We start from the raw sequence: 19541 nt of genomic DNA, 5'->3' as shown, positions 1-19541 counted from the left end.
ACTTTGACAAACTCTTCTGAAATTGAAGATGACTGAGGATAAGAAAAATATCCTAAAATGTTCCAAAGGAAAAAATGAAAGGTTACCAGAAAAGAAGCAAATTTAACTGTCATCAAGTCACTCCCAGCATTCTTTTTTTTTTTTTTTTTCTGAGATGATCAAAATGAGTTTTGACCTAGAATTTCATTCCCAGCCAAATTATCAATCAATTCTGAGGATAAAATAAAGGTCTTTTTGCACCTGCAAGGATTAAGAAAGTTTACCTCCACATCTTCTTTCTTTCTTTCTTTTCTTTTCTTTTTTTTTTTTTTTTTTTTTGAGATGGAGTTTCACTCTTGTTGCCCAGGCTGGAGTGCAATGGCGCAATCTTGGCCTACTGCAACTTCCGTCTCCCAGGTTCAAACAATTCTCCTGCCTCAGCCTCCCGAGTAGCTGGGATTACAGGTGCCCACCACCATGCCCAGCTAATTTTTTGTATTTTTAGTAGAGACAGGGTTTCACCATGTTGGCCAGGCTGGTCTCAAACTCCTGACCTCAGGCGATCCACCTGCCTCGGCCTCCCAAAGTGCTGGGATTACAGGCATGAGCCACCGTGCCTGGCCCCACATCTTTCATTAAAAGTTATTTATGGAATCCTCCAGTAAATAAGGAGGAAAATTAGGAGAAAAAAAAAACATGCATGGGATTCAGGAAACAGTGACTACACCAAGGAGAATATTAAATAGAAGTCATGACTGTTCAGGTGACCCAGGGACATCACTCAACTCAGGGTAGAGCACAGGGAACAAGAGGACAGAGATCCTCAGAACAAGGTCTCCAAACATAAATGAGAATCAAGTGATATGACAGTTTGAGAAAAAATATTAGAATACCATAAATTCAGATAAAGAAAAAAAAGGAAATGTAAATCAGGTAAACTTTGTCATAATGTGCAAGACAGGAAGTATAATCATGACCCCGTTGTTAATCAAGTGTAGACTGTCTTGGCCAGGCACAGTGGCTCACCAGCACTTTGGGACGCCAAGGCAAGTGGATCATCTGAGGTCAGGAGGTCAAGACCAGCCTAGCCAACATGGCGAAACCCTGTCTCTACTAAAAATACAAAAATTAGCCAGGTGTGGTAGCACATGCCTGTAATCCCAGCTACTTGGGAGGATGAGGCAGGAGAATCACTTGAATCTGGGAGACAGAGGTTGCAATGAGCCAAGATCACACCACTGCACTCCAGCCTGGACGACAGAGCAAAACTCTGTCTCAAAAAAAAAAAAGGTATACTGTCTTATAAAGCTAAGCTACATACTAAGCAAAGTTAATTATGTTTATAGACAAATATTTTTTATGGGAAAAGTAAAAATAAAGTCAAAGAATAGTGTGTGTGGGGGTGTGGGTGTGTGTGTGTGTCTTTTTTTCAGAGACATGGTCTTTTTCTATCACCCAGGCTGGAGTGCAGTAGTGCAATCATAGCTCACTGCAGCCTCGACCTCCTTGACTCAAGCGATCCTCCCACCTCAGCCTCCTGAGAGCTGGGACTACAGGAACATGCCACCATGCCCGGCTAATTTTTAAATTTATTTTGTAAAGATGGGGTCTCACTATGTTGCCCAGGCTGGTCTCAAGCTCCTGGGCTCAAGTGACTCTCCCACCTTGGCCTCCCAAAGTGTTGGGATTACAGATGTGAGCCACAGCACCCAGCCAAGACTATTGTAAGGGAAGAGAACATTGAAGCTGGGAGAGTCGTAAATAATGAAGGGAAGGAGGGTAGAGGTACTAAGAACCTTATCCTAGAAGAGCTATGGTCTGAAAATTGATTAAACAATGAAATAAAGACATTGCATGAAGGTAACGTCTATGGTTTGGATATTTGTTCCCTCCAATCCTCATGTGGAAATTTGATCCCCAATGTGGCAATGTTGGAGGTGGGGCCTGATGGAAGGCTATTGGGTCATGCCAGTGGATCCTTCATTAGTAGATGCCTTTCCTGTGGGGTGAGTGTGTTCTCACTGTGTTAGTTCCTGCAAGAGTGCTGGTTGTTAAAAGGAGCCTGGAACTTCCCCCCACTTGCTTCCTTTCGTGCCATGTGATCTCTGCACTGGGCTCTCCTTCCACTTTCTACTGTGAGTTAAAGCAGAGTGAGGCCCTCACCAGATGCAGATGCTCCATCTTGAAATTTTCAGCAACCAGAATCATAAGCCAAGTAACCTCTTTTCTTTATAAACTACCTGGTCTCAGGTATTCTGTTATAGCAACACAAAATGGACTAAGACAAGGCCGGGTGTGGTAGCTCATGCCTGTAATCCCAGCACTTTGGGAGGCTGAGGCAGGAGGATCACTTGAGCCCAGGAGTTCAAGACCAGCCTGGGCAACATAGCAAGATGCCAACTCTACAAAAAAAAATAATAATAAACTAAGACAGTAACTAAGAGAGAAACTAAAAATGACATAACTGTTATATCCCTATATCCAGAGCCTCAAAATAAAAGTTACATCCCAGGTACCCTTCCCTAGGAAAGTTCTGGAAGATGTGGTCCACCAAAGTCAGGCAATAAACAAAGACAAGGGGAAGACATGCTATCCTGGAAACAAGGGATCTAACGCAGAGCAAAAAGATGAAGGAATTCCTGGAATGACACTGAAGGAAAATCCCAGGACAGTGGTTAAGGAACAGAGATAGAGAACTGCTTATCCGAGTTGAGGAGAAGGAGGAAAGAGTTCTGCATTTAGGAAGGGAAAGTAAAAACAAGAGATTCCCTGATGTGCTCAAATAAATCTGGAGCAGATTTATAACTACAGAGGAGAGTTTGGGAATGAACTGCTGATAGATTAATAGAAAACTAGTTGGCCAGGTGCGGTGACTCATGCCCATAATCCCAGCACTTTGAGAAGCTGAGACAGGAGGATCACTTGAGCCCAGGAGTTTGATACCAGCCTGGCCAACGTGGTAATACCCTGCCTCTGCACAAAACTTAAACAATAGCCAGGCATGGTGGCACAGGCTTGTGCTCCCAGCTATTTGAGAGGCTGAGGTGGGAGAGCTGCTTGAGCCTAGGAGGTCGAGGCTGTGGTGAGCCGAGATCACACCACTGTACTCCAGCCTGGGCAACAGAGCAAGATCCTGTCTCAAAAAAAAGAAAAAAAAAAGCAGAGCAAACTTTGGTGGGGGAAGGAGGATGAGCAATTACAAAGTCCAGGGAGGGCAAAATTTGTGCAAGACAAGAGGTATAATTGTGACTCAATTGTTAGTAAAATGTATACTGTCTTATCAACAGAAACTCAACATAATTATTTCACAAAAATTCTGACACAATTACACTGGTGGAAGTAAGTGGGGGAGAAGTGTGTGCCTGTGTATGAGGGCGCAGGAAGAATACAAGATCTAAACCCTTACCTTTCACAGTAGGAAATCTAAAGTTGACATATAAAACCAGAAAATAACAAAACCAGAGTATTAGAAATAGGGCGGTACATACACGAAACAATAGCTCAGAATGAAAGGGGTTTTCTAGGGGAGCAGTGGAATAGTGGGGAGGAGGACTTCCTAACAGGCTGGTGTTTTCCATGTCAAGCCTCAGGGATTATTTGGCTTTTAAAAAGTATGCCTAGGTATACAGAAATAAAACCAAAAGCTAGTTTAAAAATTTCAAAATCATGGGGTGTTATGCCCTGAGCAACAATGCTTTCTTCTGGATGCATCACAATTAGGAACCGTCGTTCCAAGCAATGTTTCCTGGCCCTGGGAGCAGTCCCTCCTGCCACTATGGGGCCATGCTGAGAGCTGTCTTGGAACCTATGCTGGCCTCATTAGGTGATGTTCCTCCAGCTGCTCCATCCCCGAGATAATTACCGCAAACTTTGGCTCATGCTGGCCTCAATTAGACAGGTCCTTCCTTTCAGGGGCATAAGGGCATGGTGGCCGTCCAGCAGGAAGCCAGTAAACACTTGGGAAGACAGTTGGGCCCATCTCACCAAGGGCATGAAAACACAGCCAGAGCGGCTTCTTTTCAAATCTTAATTGTAGAGGCAACTCCTGTGATTCAGCTCCCTGAGAAAATTGAGTAGAGGGGGCAAGGGGTGGAGAAGGGATTGTACCATCTTAAATGAGGAGGAGAGGCCCTCCAGCTGCAGCGGGCCCATCTGCCTCACGTGACCATGTCCATGAAAATGAAGTGAGACAAATGTCATTGAGAGGGCTCCTCTGGTCTCTAAAGAGCTAACAGCCAATGCTGAAGGCTACAGCGCTTTCAGGCTCAAGTACTTCCTTCACTCAGGAGTCTTGGCAGGGATACGAGGAATGTACAAATCTGGCACATTCTCCTCCTCCTGTGAGTAGCGGCCATCCCACATAGCACGTAAAGTGTGTATTTTGTACATCTTGTGAAACTCACTGTAGCTCTTAAAAAGAAAATGCTCGCCCAGGTAGGTGCAATAACATTGACATATTTCCAAAAGCTAAGAAGCAGCCTCTCCATTCATTTACATTTGCTGTTAGGAACAACCTGGTAGCTAAAAGCTAAGACATTTTTAGACTGTGTATTTTATTGGAATTTTAAACGCTTCTAATTGTGCATGCACCAGGAGGTTTTGAAAATGGAGGTTTTAAAGACTTCAAGCGGGCACAGCTAGACATCTCAGTAGAAGACAGAATTTTCCTGAATTATGCTTTATGACAAGGACACATTGGGGTCTTAGGTTCAGCCTGTAAACCTACCTCCATCTGGTTTTAAGGCAAGCCAAAAAAAAAAAAAAAAAGGGAAGGAGGGAGGAAAAGAGGAAGATAGCAAGGCAGGAACAAAGAGAACAACCTTGCTTCTACAGTAGATAAATAAACTTACACGGATTTCCCATCAAAAATGTACTCTTTATAGCAACATGAGAACAAATAATGAGGGGAAAAAATATCAATTCTCATAAGCACAAAGCCTTAACATTTTCACTTACAACCTCAAACTGAATAGCATCCAGCCATTTCCCATAATTTCAGTAATGGCCGAGACATTGGAACATGCAGTAATAACAAACAAAAACACGCCATTATCCATGCACAGATGTAACCTCCAAACACAGAGATTTTTCTCCAGGACCTTAAAAAAATTGCATTCAGTAGCACATGCTGCCAAAACTCGCTGATTTTTTTACCTATTTTCACTCAGTTTGCCTTAGGCTAAAACTACTTATCGTCCAGGCAGGTACCCGACCCCACAGGGTCTCAAATTATTGAAAGCAAATTGGCTTTCAGGCTGTTTCCCCTCTAATCTCAATTCTTTGAGGCCCAAGGAGTGATTTACATGGCAAATGGGTCCTACAACCACCATTTCTCCTTGGAGTCCTGGCATCACCACAGAGACCAGAGGAATTTTTTTTTTATTACTGTAAATGAGCCGTTCGTTACATCTGGTTCCATCAGCGAAGGATGAGTTTTACCCCCCGAAGAAACCTATGGGGCTGACCCTTGGAGAGGGTCTATGTCAACAGGTGGGCGTCGGGAACCTCTGTGCTCTCAGGCCCCAGAGGCAGGAAGCAGAGACATAGCTTCTGCGGCCAGGTCCCCATGTGACCACTTGGGGCAAGCATGTCATTTTCTCCAAGCAGCTATTTTTAGTTTTGTTTTTTTTTTTTTTTTTAAATGGTAATCACTTCAACAGTGTCATGGAGAAGATTCAAATGCTTCCCCACAATTTCCAGGTTTTCCCATTCCTTTTCTGGGGGTTTTCTGGGGAAGTTTAGAAGAATGATCTAGAAACAGCTTGCCAGGAGAATTAGGCAGCCAGAACGGCGTCCAGGGAGGAAAGCTTTTGGCAGCGTGCAGATTCTTGGCATGGTTCCTCCAGGGCCACAGGGACCATCCTAGTTGGGCCTGGGCACCTGCCCAGAACTTCTGAGCGGAGCGTTGTTCACATGCCACTCATTCTTGGCAGGCGAGATGCAGAAGGCATCGGTCTGTGAGCATCATCTCTCCTCTGCCGCCTGCCAAGGTTTAGACAGGACGTCTTTCTTCCCAGAGAATGAGGGCATCTTCCCAGCCGATCTCCCATCACCTGGACAGGTACAGACTCAGGCTGCTTGTCCTTAGAAGTCGTTATAATGAAGAGTGACACATAAACCTTCCAGAGAAGCCTGAAACTTCTGGACGGGGTTCGTGGGGGAGGCAGGGGTGCGGGGGTGGTGGAGCAGCTTACACGTGTGTAAGAACTACAGGCAAAGCAGGTCTAAAACTTGCTATGGAAACAACTAAAATGTGTTCAAAAGCTAAAAAGAATGATTGGGCTCTTTTTCTTTTAAAAGTCAAGAAAAAGAGGAAAGAAAATATGGGATAGCGAAAAGGGGGGTGGGAAGGCCTCCCTCCCTCTAAATGTATTTTGTATTATCAGAAGAGAATGCAGATCATGCAAACGTTTTCTGGGGACTTAACGTTTAACTGTTTTCATCTTATAATTATCGAGATCTTCATTAATAATTATTATAATTATTATTACACCTGCGAAGCACTTTCTGTATGCCAGGCCTTGTGCTGGGTGCCTTAGATATATTATCTCATTTAATCCTCATAGCCATGTGTCTTATTGAATCAAATCCTCATATTATCCCAGTTTTACAGATAAGGAAATTGAGGCTTAGAAAGATTAGATAGCTTGTCCAAAATCACACTTTCTAACTGATGGGGCCAGGATTTAAACCTGCCTCTGTTTAATCATAAAGCCCTTCCCTTTAAGGACTACCCTGTACATCACCTCTTTCAGGAGAAAGAGAGTTGGGTTTGACACCTGCCTCTCTACAGTTCCTAGAGCCAGACTCATTTTTGAAGACTTTCATGGATGCCTATATGGTGTGTCAACAAGAAAGCTGGCCACTTTCCTCCTTCCTACTTAACACACACACACACATACATACCACACACACACACACACACACACACACACACACACACACACATTTACCTCAAATCCCCTTTCCCTCCTCCCACACTTGAGTAAATCAATTACTCCATGCTTTATCAAAAGCCTATTTGACCATAAAGAATTTTAGAGAAAATCTGACCTGATCCTTTCATCTCATGGATAAAGAAAATTGAGGCCCAGAGCATGGCTGATGCCAAATAGGGATCTGGAATTCCTTTTTCTGGAACAGTATTCTCTCCTCTACGGCCCTGCAGCCCATGCCCTGCTGGGCACTGGGTAGAAGGCTAATATCAATCAGCCCTGGCCACTGGCCACCTCTGCAGAAGCTAATTGTCCAGAGGAGGGAAAATACAAGTTTATAAATAACTAAAATATCAGGTCAAGCACATTGCAGGAAGCAAAAGTGGAATAGAATAATGGGGCTGGGAGCTCCAGGAGGAAGAACAACAACAAAAATTCCCTAGCCGTGCAACCAGCAAAGTGTTCAGGAAAGAGGCAGTGTCTGAGCTAGACTTGGAAGGATTAGTAAGCTATACGTGTGATGTGATGGGAAGGACATCGGCAGTGGAGGCTTAAGACATGGATTTCAGGTAAACCAAACCAAACACAAAAAGTGCTTGAATTCCAAATAGGTTTTGCCGGAATGATGACACAGTAGCCATTACCATAGCGAGAAGCTTGGTGTACCACATCAGCTTACCTTCTCCCTTCAGTATCTTGCAGCAATGGGCTATGGGCAAAGCAAATTTGGATAGGAGCAAAGGAGTGGCCACTGTCCAGGACAGAGGAGAAATTAGCGTGGGACAACTCAGTGGGCTGTATTTGGGAAGTGGTAGCAATTAATGCATTAAGGGGTTGTAATGTTTTCTACAGCCTTCTCGAATGTGCTCTCTATGGGCAACTACTATGAAGAATGAAAGAATGAAAGGAGAGAAGGCTGCCGCTTTTCTGGGAAGGCCAGCCCAGACATTAACTTCATCCACATGTGCTGGCCATGCCTCTTTGAATCCATCGGCCCTGGCACAATTTGTATGATTCTAAATCTCCCTGAACCAGGCATGTGATGTGTAAAACTAGATCCATTCTTAGTGTTGGAAGAGCCATGCCTGCCTTGGAACACAGAACCATCTGTTAGCATTAGAAACACACAGCCTTGCCCATTCATTCCACTAGTGGGAGTCGAGATGCCTGGAAAAGAAAGCATGAACACACGCTTCCAAAATTGGAAAGGGGAGGCAACCTGGCATGGATGGAGATGGTGCGATGGGGGAGCTATTGAGAAACGAGCCTGGGCTCTGCGATGTACGCCATTGCCTACCTGATATCTTCTCCCACTTCTGCATTCCTAGCAGAATTCCAACAATGCGGAGATGTCCACCTTCCCTTTCCAGGACGATCTCGTGGGGGCTCTAGGGGAGGCTGAGGGAATTGGTCTGAGGGAATCCCATTTCCTCTTCCAGTGACTGGTTCTGGTGCAGGCGTGGGAGATACATGTGACCAATGAGACATTAGAGAAGTTCCAATGGGATACTTCCAGGGAACTTTCTTAACTTCTAAGAGTGAACCATAGAAGGAACAGGTCTTTCTTCCTTCTGAATGTGGTCAAGTCTGGACGTGACTCCTAGATCTGCTTAAGCCCTGTGGCTACCAGCTTGATGATGGCAGGGCAGAGAAATGGAAAGAACCTGTGTCCTTGATGACATCACTGAGCTTCCGAGTCAACCAGCCCTGAGGCTCACCCTGCCTCAGGACTTCCTGTTAAGTGCTAGAATACATTTCTATATAGTTTGTTGGATGTGGGCAGATTTTCTAGTAGTTGCAACTGAACGCATTTTAACATATAGGATATGTATACACACACACACACACACACACACACTGTAACATTTATTTAATGCTAACATTTTACACTACATTTAATCTTTCCAACATTTTTGCAAAGCCCGTACTATTATCCCCATTTCATACATGGGAAATCAAAGCTTTAAAAGAGAATTACTCATCTATTATGTGGTCTGGCTCAGATACACACTGAAGCTCCTGGAAGAATTCCTTAACTGATAGGCCTAATCAAAGATAGAATGGGCTGCCTGGGCGTGGTGGCACAAGCCTGTAATCCCAGCTACTCAGGAGGCTGAGGCAGGAGAATCGCTTAAACCCAGGAAGAGGAGGTTGCAGTGAGCTGAGATCGCCCCATTGCACTCCAGCCTGGGCAACAAGAGCAAAACTCTGTCTCAAAAAAAAAAAAAAAAAAAAAAAAGCCTTATATTTGTTGTAGGCTTACTCACCACCAGATACTGTTGTCAGCAGTTTACATGTTTGAACAGATCCAATCTCTGTGGTCATCCCCTGAAATGAATATTATTATCATTCTTATTTTGCAGATGAGGAAACCAAGCCACAGAGGTTTAAGCAACTTGCCGAAGGACACCCAGCTGAGAGGTGGTATCAATAGAACTTGAGCCTAAGCAGTGTGGCTCCAAAGCTCATGTGTTGAGCCCTCAAGGCACAGAGTCAACCCTGTGAGTCCCAGCCAGCCTGAAATCTCTGGTTCTGGTCAGTAGATGGATGATCCATATTGGGAAGAGCAAGTATAGTGCAGCTGCCCAGGGCTGTAGGGCCACCTGACCCACGCACCTGGGAACACCTTACCTCTTACAGAAACTTACTTCTAGATTTCAGTGGTGTTGCTTTGAAGACCAGAAGGCAAACCCTGGGTGTGCACCTGCCTGACCATCACCTCTGGTGTGAATGATCCCACCCAAGCATATTCCTAAGGACTGGGCTGGACTCCATTCCCGGAGCTCTGGCTGGGATGGTTCCTTAATGAAAGCGTTTCCCTTTGACTTCCCAGCAGCGGCCCTTCCTTCCTCACTTGTTGGGAAAACCCAGGGCATGTTAGCTCCTGCCTCAGAAGACAAAGAGGAGAAATCCTTCCTGAGCTTCAAAGGAAACTTCATAACCCTAAAAGCAGTGGTCTGGCTGGCAAAGTCTTTCTCTCCCTCGGCGTTGGGTGGCCTTTAGTGACTCCTGGCTTCAACCCCAAGCCCCCAGCCCCACTGAAAGCTTGATGACCTCTCCTCCTCACTTGGTCCTAGTCCCCATGCACTCCAGCAGGGCTTACTGCAGTCATTACTAAGGCTTTGGCTCATTAGAGGCTCTTCCACTTGGGCACAGGATTGGCAAAGAGTTGCAATTTGGAGCATTCTGTTTACAAACAAACTAACCTCATCAAGTCAAGCCAGGAGGCAGCAAGCAGCTGGGGAGAAGCCACATTCCCATCCCTGGCCTTCCCCTCCCTCCTGGGTTAGTTATCTCCCACTCTTCTTTCCAGGGTACTGTGCACCTGGGCCCTCAGTCACCTCTGCTGGGAAGCTCTTTGGAATTTACGGAATGCCTTTCTGCAGCATTCTGTCTTATTTGCGTGACTGAGGAGGATTTTGCCACTGATGTCCTGTATTTCAACAAAGCGTCCTGCTTGCATTTTCTTTCACCTGCTTTGCAATTGTTTAGTAATACTTAAGTGCCAGGCTCTGGGTTAAGCACTTTATGAAGCTTTCCACACAATACCTGGGTTAGTTCCCTGACACTCTGTGAGGTGAGGGCTATCACCTTTCCTACTTCACAGGGGGGCATCTGAGGCCCCGTGAGGCTAAATAGTTTACCCAAGGTCACAGGGAGATGGAGTGAGCCAGAGGACATCCGCTTGTGCCCTACTGAGGCCGGGGCTCCCCAAAACTCTGCAGTCCTGCCTCCCTCCATGGGAGATTCAGTACAAACCAAATAGCCACCCAGAAATCAACAGTGTTGACTTCCCCACCAAGATGTGATCCTTTAGCTTTGCTCTCTGAGGCCTTGATGGGTTTTCCACAAAGACCCTCCTCTTCCCCAGGGTCTCCTTTCTCTCCCCCATTCTTCAGAGACCTCCACAACAAATCACTGCTTGGGAGCCAGTAACAAGAATGCCAATTATTGTTCCATGAACCAAGTGTAAAGTGGGGGCTTTCTGATGGGAAAAGCAAGACTTAGAGCAAGTTTCTCATCTCTGTGACTTTAACATATTTCCTACATTTTTAGCAAAATTATAGAGGATAGTTCCTTTTGGAATCTTTTGAGCAGCCTCCATTTTAATTCGAGATGGCAAATTCATCCACATGTTAAACTTGAGCGACAGACCTGCCTTCTCTTTTAGAATTAATTCCAGTTTGGTCAAAAGCAACACTCTCTTCAAAAGTTAGCTTGGAGCCAATGAACAGAGGAAAAGAAAATGTTCAAGTGGTCTACTTAAACAAGACCTCGCTCCATCCCACCAATTAAAGAGAAATTAAAACGGCTTCCAACTAGAACTTTAAATGCCTCTGAAGGGGAATTTCTGAAGAAAAAACCTTTGCCGTTCGAGATACTTGTTAAAGATATCACAGTCTTCAATCTCAAGGGTCCCTGGATTCCCAAAATCTTTGATCATCTAAATTTAGCTGTTTTCATAAACATTTCAGACAGCAGGCTAATTTTTATTCCCTGGAGAGCCTCATGCACTCAGACTGCAAGTCCAGGAAGAATGTCAACTTTTAAGAACTAGTCAAAGCCTCGCTAAGACTAAGAGCCAGATACCAGCTATTCGGCTGACTTTAAATCTGTGTCATTACTCACTGTCCCTTGAAGAGGAACATAAAATTTTACTATATGCTGCTTGTAATTCAACAAATAATTACTCAGCAGGTGATGTGGGCAAGGCCTCCTCACAGGGTGCTGTGAAGGAAGCAGAGATGAGCAGGCCTGGCTGCTGCCACTGCAGTCCAGCAAAACAAAGAACATACAATCCTACCAATCAGGTTGCAGGTTGGTGCAAAAGTAATTGCAGTTTTTGCCATTACTTTTAATAACAAAAACTGCAATTACTTTTCCACCAATGTAATAATAAGTGTGAATGTGTGAGTGTATGTGTGCATGTGTGCACATGTGTGTGTGTGTGTGTGTGTGTGTGTGTGTGTGCGGGTGCATATGCATGCATGCTTGTGAGAGGCAGTACACTCCAAGGACAATTTGTTGGAAAATATGTCATTGAATCTGAGATATAAAGAATGGATAGAACTATGGGTAATTTTTCTGTCTTTCCATTTTCCGTCTTTATTGCTGGCAACTTGTTTATGTGATTAATAATAATAAAGCAGAGAAAAATGGGGAGGAGGTGAAGGCCAGTGTGTTCCGAGAGTACCATGAAAGTGTAGGCCTGGAGGCTGGAAATCCCAAGGCGGATCATTTAGAAAACAATATGCTGCTAATATCTCTTTTGTTTTGAAAACAAATTCATGACTGTGCACCTTTATTTAGTAGCTGTATGATGTTTGCCCACACAGATTTCTACTGCTACCAATAAAATGATCTTTTACTAAGTCCTAGGATAATAGCCAAGAGCACCTGCCCTGGAGTCAGCCTGTATGGCCGCATGAGTTTGGGCAGGTCATTTAATCTTTTGAGCTTCAATTTCTCATATTTGATTTCAGAATAGTAGTAGTACCTGGCTCATAGAGTCATCAAGATGAAACGAGATCACCTCTCTAAAAAATACCTTGTCCATTGCACACAGTAAATGTTCTGTGAAAGTCCACAGTTGTTTCAACATCTAGGGAGGATCCTTTCAGCCCATGTCTTCTTGGAGCTACTGATCTGACCATTTTGACCTAGTGGATGGTTTTTTTTAACCATATAGTTTAATAAAGATGGACCACAATACCCATATGTCCATCACATCACTTTATCTTACCACTTTCTGTTACCCAGGCTTAATCTTCTTGAAAGCAGAATCTAGGCATGCAGATGAGAAAATTGGCTCAGACCCTGTCTCCCAGTGGAGAGATGTAGTATCCAGCTAAATCCTAGAACTTCTGACTTGAATCCACTTCTTTTCCCAGTATTTGATACAATCTGTTAAATGTCTTAATGTCATGAATGTGTTAATGAGGATTCATTTTGTGGCAGAAGCAGGAATCAGAACTGTGTCGTCCCCTATGATGAAACGTCCACTCTAGACTGCTCCTTCGAGGCAGGACTTAGAGGTCAAAAGGATGCGACACATCTGGTTTCTGGTCATCTCATGCTTTTCTTGTGGCTTCATCCTCAGTCTGCACATGGCTGGAAAAGCCTCCAGCATCCCCAAACCTATGTTTCAGGAGGCATCCTGTGCTCAGTCCTGCCTTGGGGTCATGAGTCCATGCTTGATGGGATTATGACAATTAGCCAAGACAAGGTCACAAGTCACCATCAACAAACCCCTTGGAGAAGGGTGTGAGGACTCTGCTTGGTCAAGAACAGGTCACTCATTTCACCACGCATCCATCCCAACCACACTGAGCACAGAAGTGGGGCTGCTTCCACAGAGGTCATTCAGGATTCTGTTACCAGAAGAAAAGACACTGGGCAAGCCAAGTCAGCATTTGTCCACTGAGGAATTGCCCATTACTAGATAATAGAGGAGAAAATTATTTTCTGGCTAACTGAGAGTTACACATAGATTCCCCTATTTTCTTTCTTTCTTTCTTTCTTTCTTTCTTTCTTTCTTTCTTTCTTTCTTTCTTTCTTTCTTTTTTTTTTTTTTTGAGAGGGAGTCTCACTCTGTCACCAGGCTGGAGTGCAATGGCACGATCTCAGCTCACTGCAACCTCTGCCTCCCAGGTCCAAGCCATTCTCCTTCCTCAGCCTCCCAAGTAGCTGGGATTACAGGTGCTCACCACCATGCCCAGCTAATTTTTGTATTTGTAGTAGAGATGGGGTTTCACCATGTTGGCCAGGATGGTCTCAATCTCTTGACCTCATGATCCGCCCACCTTGGCCTCCCAAAGTGCTGGGATTACAGGCGTGAGCCACTGCGCCTAGCCAAATCCCCCATTTTCAAATCACCAGAATGTAATAAAGTAGACTTCAAGGGTCACATCACAAGATGCCCCCAATTTCTTAACCCGAGGGTTAACCTTGTGCACATCTATCCTTACTGTGATGAACCTAATCCCATCTTTCCTATTGTAATGAGCTGAAAGAGTGGTCCATAGAGGACCATAACGATGGAAGTGTTGGAGACAGTGGTGACTAGGACCACCACGAAAAGTCCTCCAATAGTTACAGAACCCAAGCATGGGTTCTCTAACCCATACTGGATTAGAGAAAAGTCCAAAGGGAGACAGGCTAACTATCTCCTAATATGTGAGGGGCTGTCATGTATGGGGGAAACATATTGTTAATTCAATATTCCATTTAGAGGTAACATTCCATCGAATGGGTGGAAGTTATCAGAAGGCAGGTTTTGGCTCAACAGTGGTATAGTGAATGCTTGTTGATTTTGCTCTCCAGCATGCATTCTTCCTTTTTCTGGTAATGGCACCCTGATTTTGTTCTTCGGAGACATTTTCTCCATTCTCATTTCATGTAGTTTGAGCAGCTTCCGTACCCACCTTCAAGAAAGTAGCCCGTGATGGAGGTTTAGCCAGTCAGCTTAATGCATGCTCAGGCCACAGGCCCTGGCTGGTGGTGGCAGTCACTTTCTGTATCCCTCAGCCCACCTGTGGTTTCTGCTGAGCCAGGGCACCCAGTTCCTAGGACCCTGGTAGTATCACGCTCAAGCACCTGCTGTGACCCCCTGCTTTTCTGCCTCAGGCCTTTATCTGAAGCCTACCCCCTGACCCTAGCACATCCCATCTGAATTCAGCCCAGAGTGGGGAGGTGGAAGGGAGCAAATGCCTCCAAAAATGATCTTCAACCAGTGGAGACAGGAGATGGGGTGTCAATGAGCCATCACATCTTGTCCTTCTAGGGGGCATTCTACACAATTTCTGAGGGACCCCGGTAGGGCTGAGCCTCATTTGTTCATAGCAGTAACCAGTTTCATTATATATCTTTTATTGACTTTCCCTCTTTCCCTGGGCTCACCTTCCACATTAACTGCTTGTACTCAAATCTCAATCTCAGGCTCTGTGGGTGAGTGGCAGGTGGCACCCAAATGAAGTCATTGGGAATTGATATGTTATCCAGTTTGGGCCAGTGAGAGAACAAAAACTCCCAAGAATTAGAAGGGAGCCATTGGTGTGGTGTCATAAAAAAATGAGTCTGAATTTGCCAGAGACCACCAAGCAGATCCAGAGGACAAAGCCAAGTAGAAGGAAACAGAGCTGAGATGAAGCTTGGTGATATCCTTTGAGCCCTGAATCAAGCCTCACCTGAACCCTACTTTACCTGGAATCTTGAAAGTTATGTAACCCAGTAAATTCCTCTTTTAGCTCAATTAACTGAAAGTGGAGGGGATTTTTTCTACTCCACTTTCAACCAAAAGATTCTGAACTAAAACCACAAAGAAATAAGTTTCCAACCATTAGCGCCGCCTCACAGTCAATAAGGTTGCCTTGAAAAGTATTGAGCTCCCCATAATTGAAGAGATCCAAGCAGAACACAATAAAACATATATCTAATGTGCTGGAGAAGGTTTCTCCTTCTACACTAAGTTTGTTTTAGGGGCTTAGGAGGCAAACTACACAAATTCCAAGATCCATTTCAACTCTAACGTATCGGATTGACTAATAAAAATGAATAAATTGATTCAACACCTCTCTGGCTAAGAGGTGACCAGTGACAGTGTTTCCAACTTTGGCCTTACTCATCACACTGTAATATGGTTTGGCTACGTGTCCCCACTCAAATCTCATGTTAAATTTGTAATCCCCGGTGTTGAGAGGGAGGGACACAGTGGGAGGTAATTAAATCATGGGAGCAGATTTCCTCCTTGCTGTTCCTGCGATAGCGAGTGAGTTCTCACAAGATCTGGCTGTTTGAAAGTGTACAGCTCTTCCGCCTTCACTCTCTCCCTCTCCTGCTGGCCATATGAAAATGTGCTTTGCTTCCGCTTCACCTTCTGCCACGATTGTAAGTTTCCTGAGGCCTCCCTAGAAGCAGAAACCTGTACAGCCTGCAAAACCAGGAGCCGATTAAACCTTTTTTCTTAGTCTCAGGTATGTCTTCATAGCAGTGCAAAAACGGACTAATACACACTGCTTGCATAGTATTAAACAATCACATTTCATTAATATGATTAATGATTAATCATTGTTTCCCCTGCCATCTCCCTACCCTCTGACAATTTGGATCACTGATACTTATTTAAAGCTTTTCTTTTCAGAATTGCCTAAATGCTACATTCTCTACCTGTATCAGAGGGTTGACAAGACAATCAGCACACTCAGTGGTAATATCAGGTCCCAAAAAGAGACATTCTCACTGAGGAGGAATCAGTCAACCCCAGAGGCAGCAAGAAGGATTCACAGCTTTCTGGTTACTAAAATAAGGACTACTTTTACTCAGGACAAGCCTAATTATTATTTTGATGGCAGAAGGTTCAGATATGTTATCCACAGGCTCACAGATCTCCTCCCTCCACCCCAAAAGACCTGCTCCCACAAGACATGCTACATTAATATTTATTTTTTCAGAAACAGCATGCATTAACAAAATGAATAAAGCAGCAGGAAGTAAGTGGTCTCAGAATTTTTTTTAATAATAAAAAAATCAGCTTATTAATGGTGAAAATATACCAACAGGCACTTGTTTTGAAGAAAGATGTTCAACCTTGCATACAGAAGGAGCTGCCTGGCATGGTTAGCGGGAACACACTACAGATGGGAGTGAAGTCCCCACTGATGGCTGGATGGAGGGGCCCCCAGCCACCTGCCCTCCCCACACATTTGGAAGGAGAGACCACAATACCATGCTCAGAGCTACATAAATGAAAAAAAGAAAGAGGAGAGAGGCGATAGCCCTTAACATTTTTGGCCCAAGGAAAGAAGGTTTTAATCAGAAAGCGCTAATTCACTTATGGTCAGCAGAAAGATAATAAGAGACAGACTTACTGACTGTTGTAAAATGTAATTGATTAGGGTTTCTGAATCTTATTCATTTTTTAAAATGTTCTATCTTGTATTATGTATGCAGGTTGCTGGCTATATTTGTTCACTTCTCTCAATTATCTGCATACAGAAAATGTGACAAGGGCTGCTTTTCTTTTAATTTACTCTTGTGATCAAACGAGTTTCATCCATCAGGCAGCAGAATCGTGAAATGATTTCCTTTACACAAATACCAGTGTTTCAGTAAACTCACAAATGGATAGGAACGTGCATATAACCTCTCTCTCTCTCGCTCACTCGCTCACTCACTCTTCTCTCTCTCCCACATCCCCTGCCCTGTTTTTCCATGTGATGGCTCCCTTTTCCTGTGGGCTGCTGGGAAAATGGACAATGGACAAGTGTAACACCCATCACGAGAAGAACATGGAGAATATGGACGAGTGGCACTGAGTGAGCCCCAACAAGGTGCCTTCCCCCAAGACTCATCTGAGCTCTGCAAAGACGCAGCACAGCCCCACAGATGGGCAGCCAACCAGGAGCCCATCCCTCTTGCCAATTCTCCCACTGGAAAGTGGAGGATTCAGGGGAGGAATCGGGTGGGAGGCACAGGGCAGTTTGGCCTTTCACATCCCATTTAATTAGGCCTGATGCTTGAAGGAATATCCCTGAACTTGGCTGATGGATAAGAAAAAGCTGACATATTTGGGCTAGACTTTTAGGCTTGGCAGAGTGTTCACTCCATAGGGGCACAGGGATCGAGTATCAGAGGGAAAGAAGAGCACAAAGCTGGGGTCCAAAGACCAAAAGTGTGTCCGGCTTCTGTATTATCTGGCCTCCAACTAAACATTCCCTTTCATGCCTTCCTCTCTAGGCACAAAGACCCATTCAACTGTGAAGCAACTTCAATAAATTCAACTCCACTGATAGGGTACCATGTGAGTCCCTATGTGCTGGACTCTGTTCTGAGCAGTGGGCTACCAAGATAAACAAAGAAAAATCAGTGCCTTTTAGGAGGCCTTGGTTGAGCAAGGGAAGTGAGTCCATAAATAAATAATTAGAGAACAAATGCATCCACTTTATTACCTGCTAGGCTTATGTTAAAATTCCCTTAAAGATGGAATGGCTTCTGTTAAGGCAATTCATATCTCTCAAAAATTGTACTTCTAGCACCGGGGCTTTATGAACCAAATTAATGATCAGATGGGTTGAAGGGTTGAAGATGAAAATGGAGATTTCCTGACGCTATGGTTAATGTGTGACATCTATTCTGGGGTGGCTTCCAGTCTCAGCTCTCCAAAGACAAAAAGACAATAAACAGTGAGGACACCTATTATGGGCTGGAATATGTCCCTCCTCACCCCCCAAATTCATATGTTCAAGTCCTAACCCCCAGTATCTCATAATGTGACTAGATTTGGAGATAGGGGCTTTCAAGAGAAAATTAAGCCTGTTTGGGTGATCCCTAATCCAATATGATTGGCGTACTTCTGAGAAGAGGAAATTTGGGCACACAAAGAGACCACAGGGGTACACAGAGAAACAGCCATGTGAAGAGGCAGCAAGAAGGCCGCTGTCTGCAAGCCGAGGAGAGAGACCACAGGAGCAACCACCCCTCTGCAAGTGTCTTGATCTTGGACTTCCAGCCTCCAGAACCCAGAGAAAATAAATGTTGATGGTTTAAGCCACCCAGTCTGTAGGATCACTATGGCAGTCCTAGCAAACTAACACAGCATGACTCCCTCTTAGCAAACTAACACAGCATGACTCACTGAGCTGATCTCCCCACTTGGCTGCCCATGGAGAGGCCTTCATGCCAGCCTCAGGCACCAGCACCCCTTGGTGGCATTGTGCACCAAAGCACAAAGATGGTGCAGTACCACCTTATCCCCTGAGAAACTGCTTTGCCCCCAAGCACACAAAAAGGGAGCTCCTGGCCTCCTGATTTTCACAGACTGAGCACTGAGCTCACTGCCCCACTGGCTCACTTCACTGAGCTCTGCCTAACCTTGGACTTTTCTACTCCAATCCCACTCAGCCTCCTGGGACCTTCAGATTTGACATTCGGCATCGTCTTGTAAACTTGGACTCTGACTCCCTCTTGCCCTCAAATCCCATTCAGTGTTGCCAGGACCACCTGGTCCTCCCAGCATCGTGAGTGGACCCAGGGACCTCACAACATTCCCACACTTCCTCAAATCTCTCTTCACTCCAGACAGAACAACCCCACGAGCCAAGTGCCCACGTCTCCTCTCTGCCAGGGTGTCCCTAGCACCGACTCAAAGCACCAACTCAAAGCCTGGCACACAGTGTGGGCTTCATATACCTCTGGTGACCAAATTCGCAGACTGGATACAGACACAAGGAACAGCCTTTCTCTCGTAACCCCATGCATTCTCTCAAAGCAAGACTCCAGAATCAAGTGAAAGCATTTTAGATTTATTTAGAGTGTTATCTGTTATCAAGGATGACGGGGGAAGGTTGGAGGACGCCGGAGCACTTCTGAGCACATACAGCTATAGAGGAAGGCAGAGCCACTGCTAATTTCCCAAGTGGGAAATACCCTGTCCCCATTAGCGTTGGATTTCCTGGCCTCCTGGCTTTACCACGGCTCCAGTGTTAGGTGAACCTTTATTTTTATATTGCACAGAACACACACTCAGACCAAAAAAAAAAAAAAACAACAGTAAAGGGGTATGCTTTTTCTCAGCTATTGGAAAACATATATAGGCTTCATGGATCCTACATTACCTCTAAAATTGTTTTC

At 44.7% G+C, this 19541-nt stretch overlaps 1 protein-coding gene across 6 annotated transcripts in view, besides 2 other annotated features; it reads right to left on the bottom strand.

Moving 5' to 3' along the window:
- Positions 1 to 19541, bottom strand: part of KAZN (kazrin, periplakin interacting protein) — a 1225220-nt gene that overhangs the window by 971189 nt on the left and 234490 nt on the right. The gene's annotated exons all lie outside the window — the stretch shown is intronic.
- Positions 10049 to 10594: an enhancer, noted in NCBI's record as "OCT4-NANOG-H3K27ac-H3K4me1 hESC enhancer chr1:14462756-14463301 (GRCh37/hg19 assembly coordinates)". NCBI's record gives its function as "activates a minimal SCP1, AML or CMV promoter by ChIP-STARR-seq in naive and primed H9 embryonic stem cells {active_cell/tissue: H9 hESC(naive and primed)}" and the evidence as "EXISTENCE:reporter gene assay evidence [ECO:0000049][PMID:30033119]".
- Positions 10595 to 11141: an enhancer, noted in NCBI's record as "OCT4-NANOG-H3K27ac hESC enhancer chr1:14462209-14462755 (GRCh37/hg19 assembly coordinates)". NCBI's record gives its function as "activates a minimal SCP1, AML or CMV promoter by ChIP-STARR-seq in primed H9 embryonic stem cells {active_cell/tissue: H9 hESC(primed)}" and the evidence as "EXISTENCE:reporter gene assay evidence [ECO:0000049][PMID:30033119]".

The sequence above is a fragment of the Homo sapiens genome, chromosome 1 (assembly GCF_000001405.40).
Source record: "Homo sapiens chromosome 1, GRCh38.p14 Primary Assembly".
NCBI lineage: Eukaryota > Metazoa > Chordata > Mammalia > Primates > Hominidae > Homo > Homo sapiens.
The sequence above is the reverse complement of the archived record's forward strand: the minus strand, read 5'-3'. Positions and strand labels throughout refer to the sequence as shown.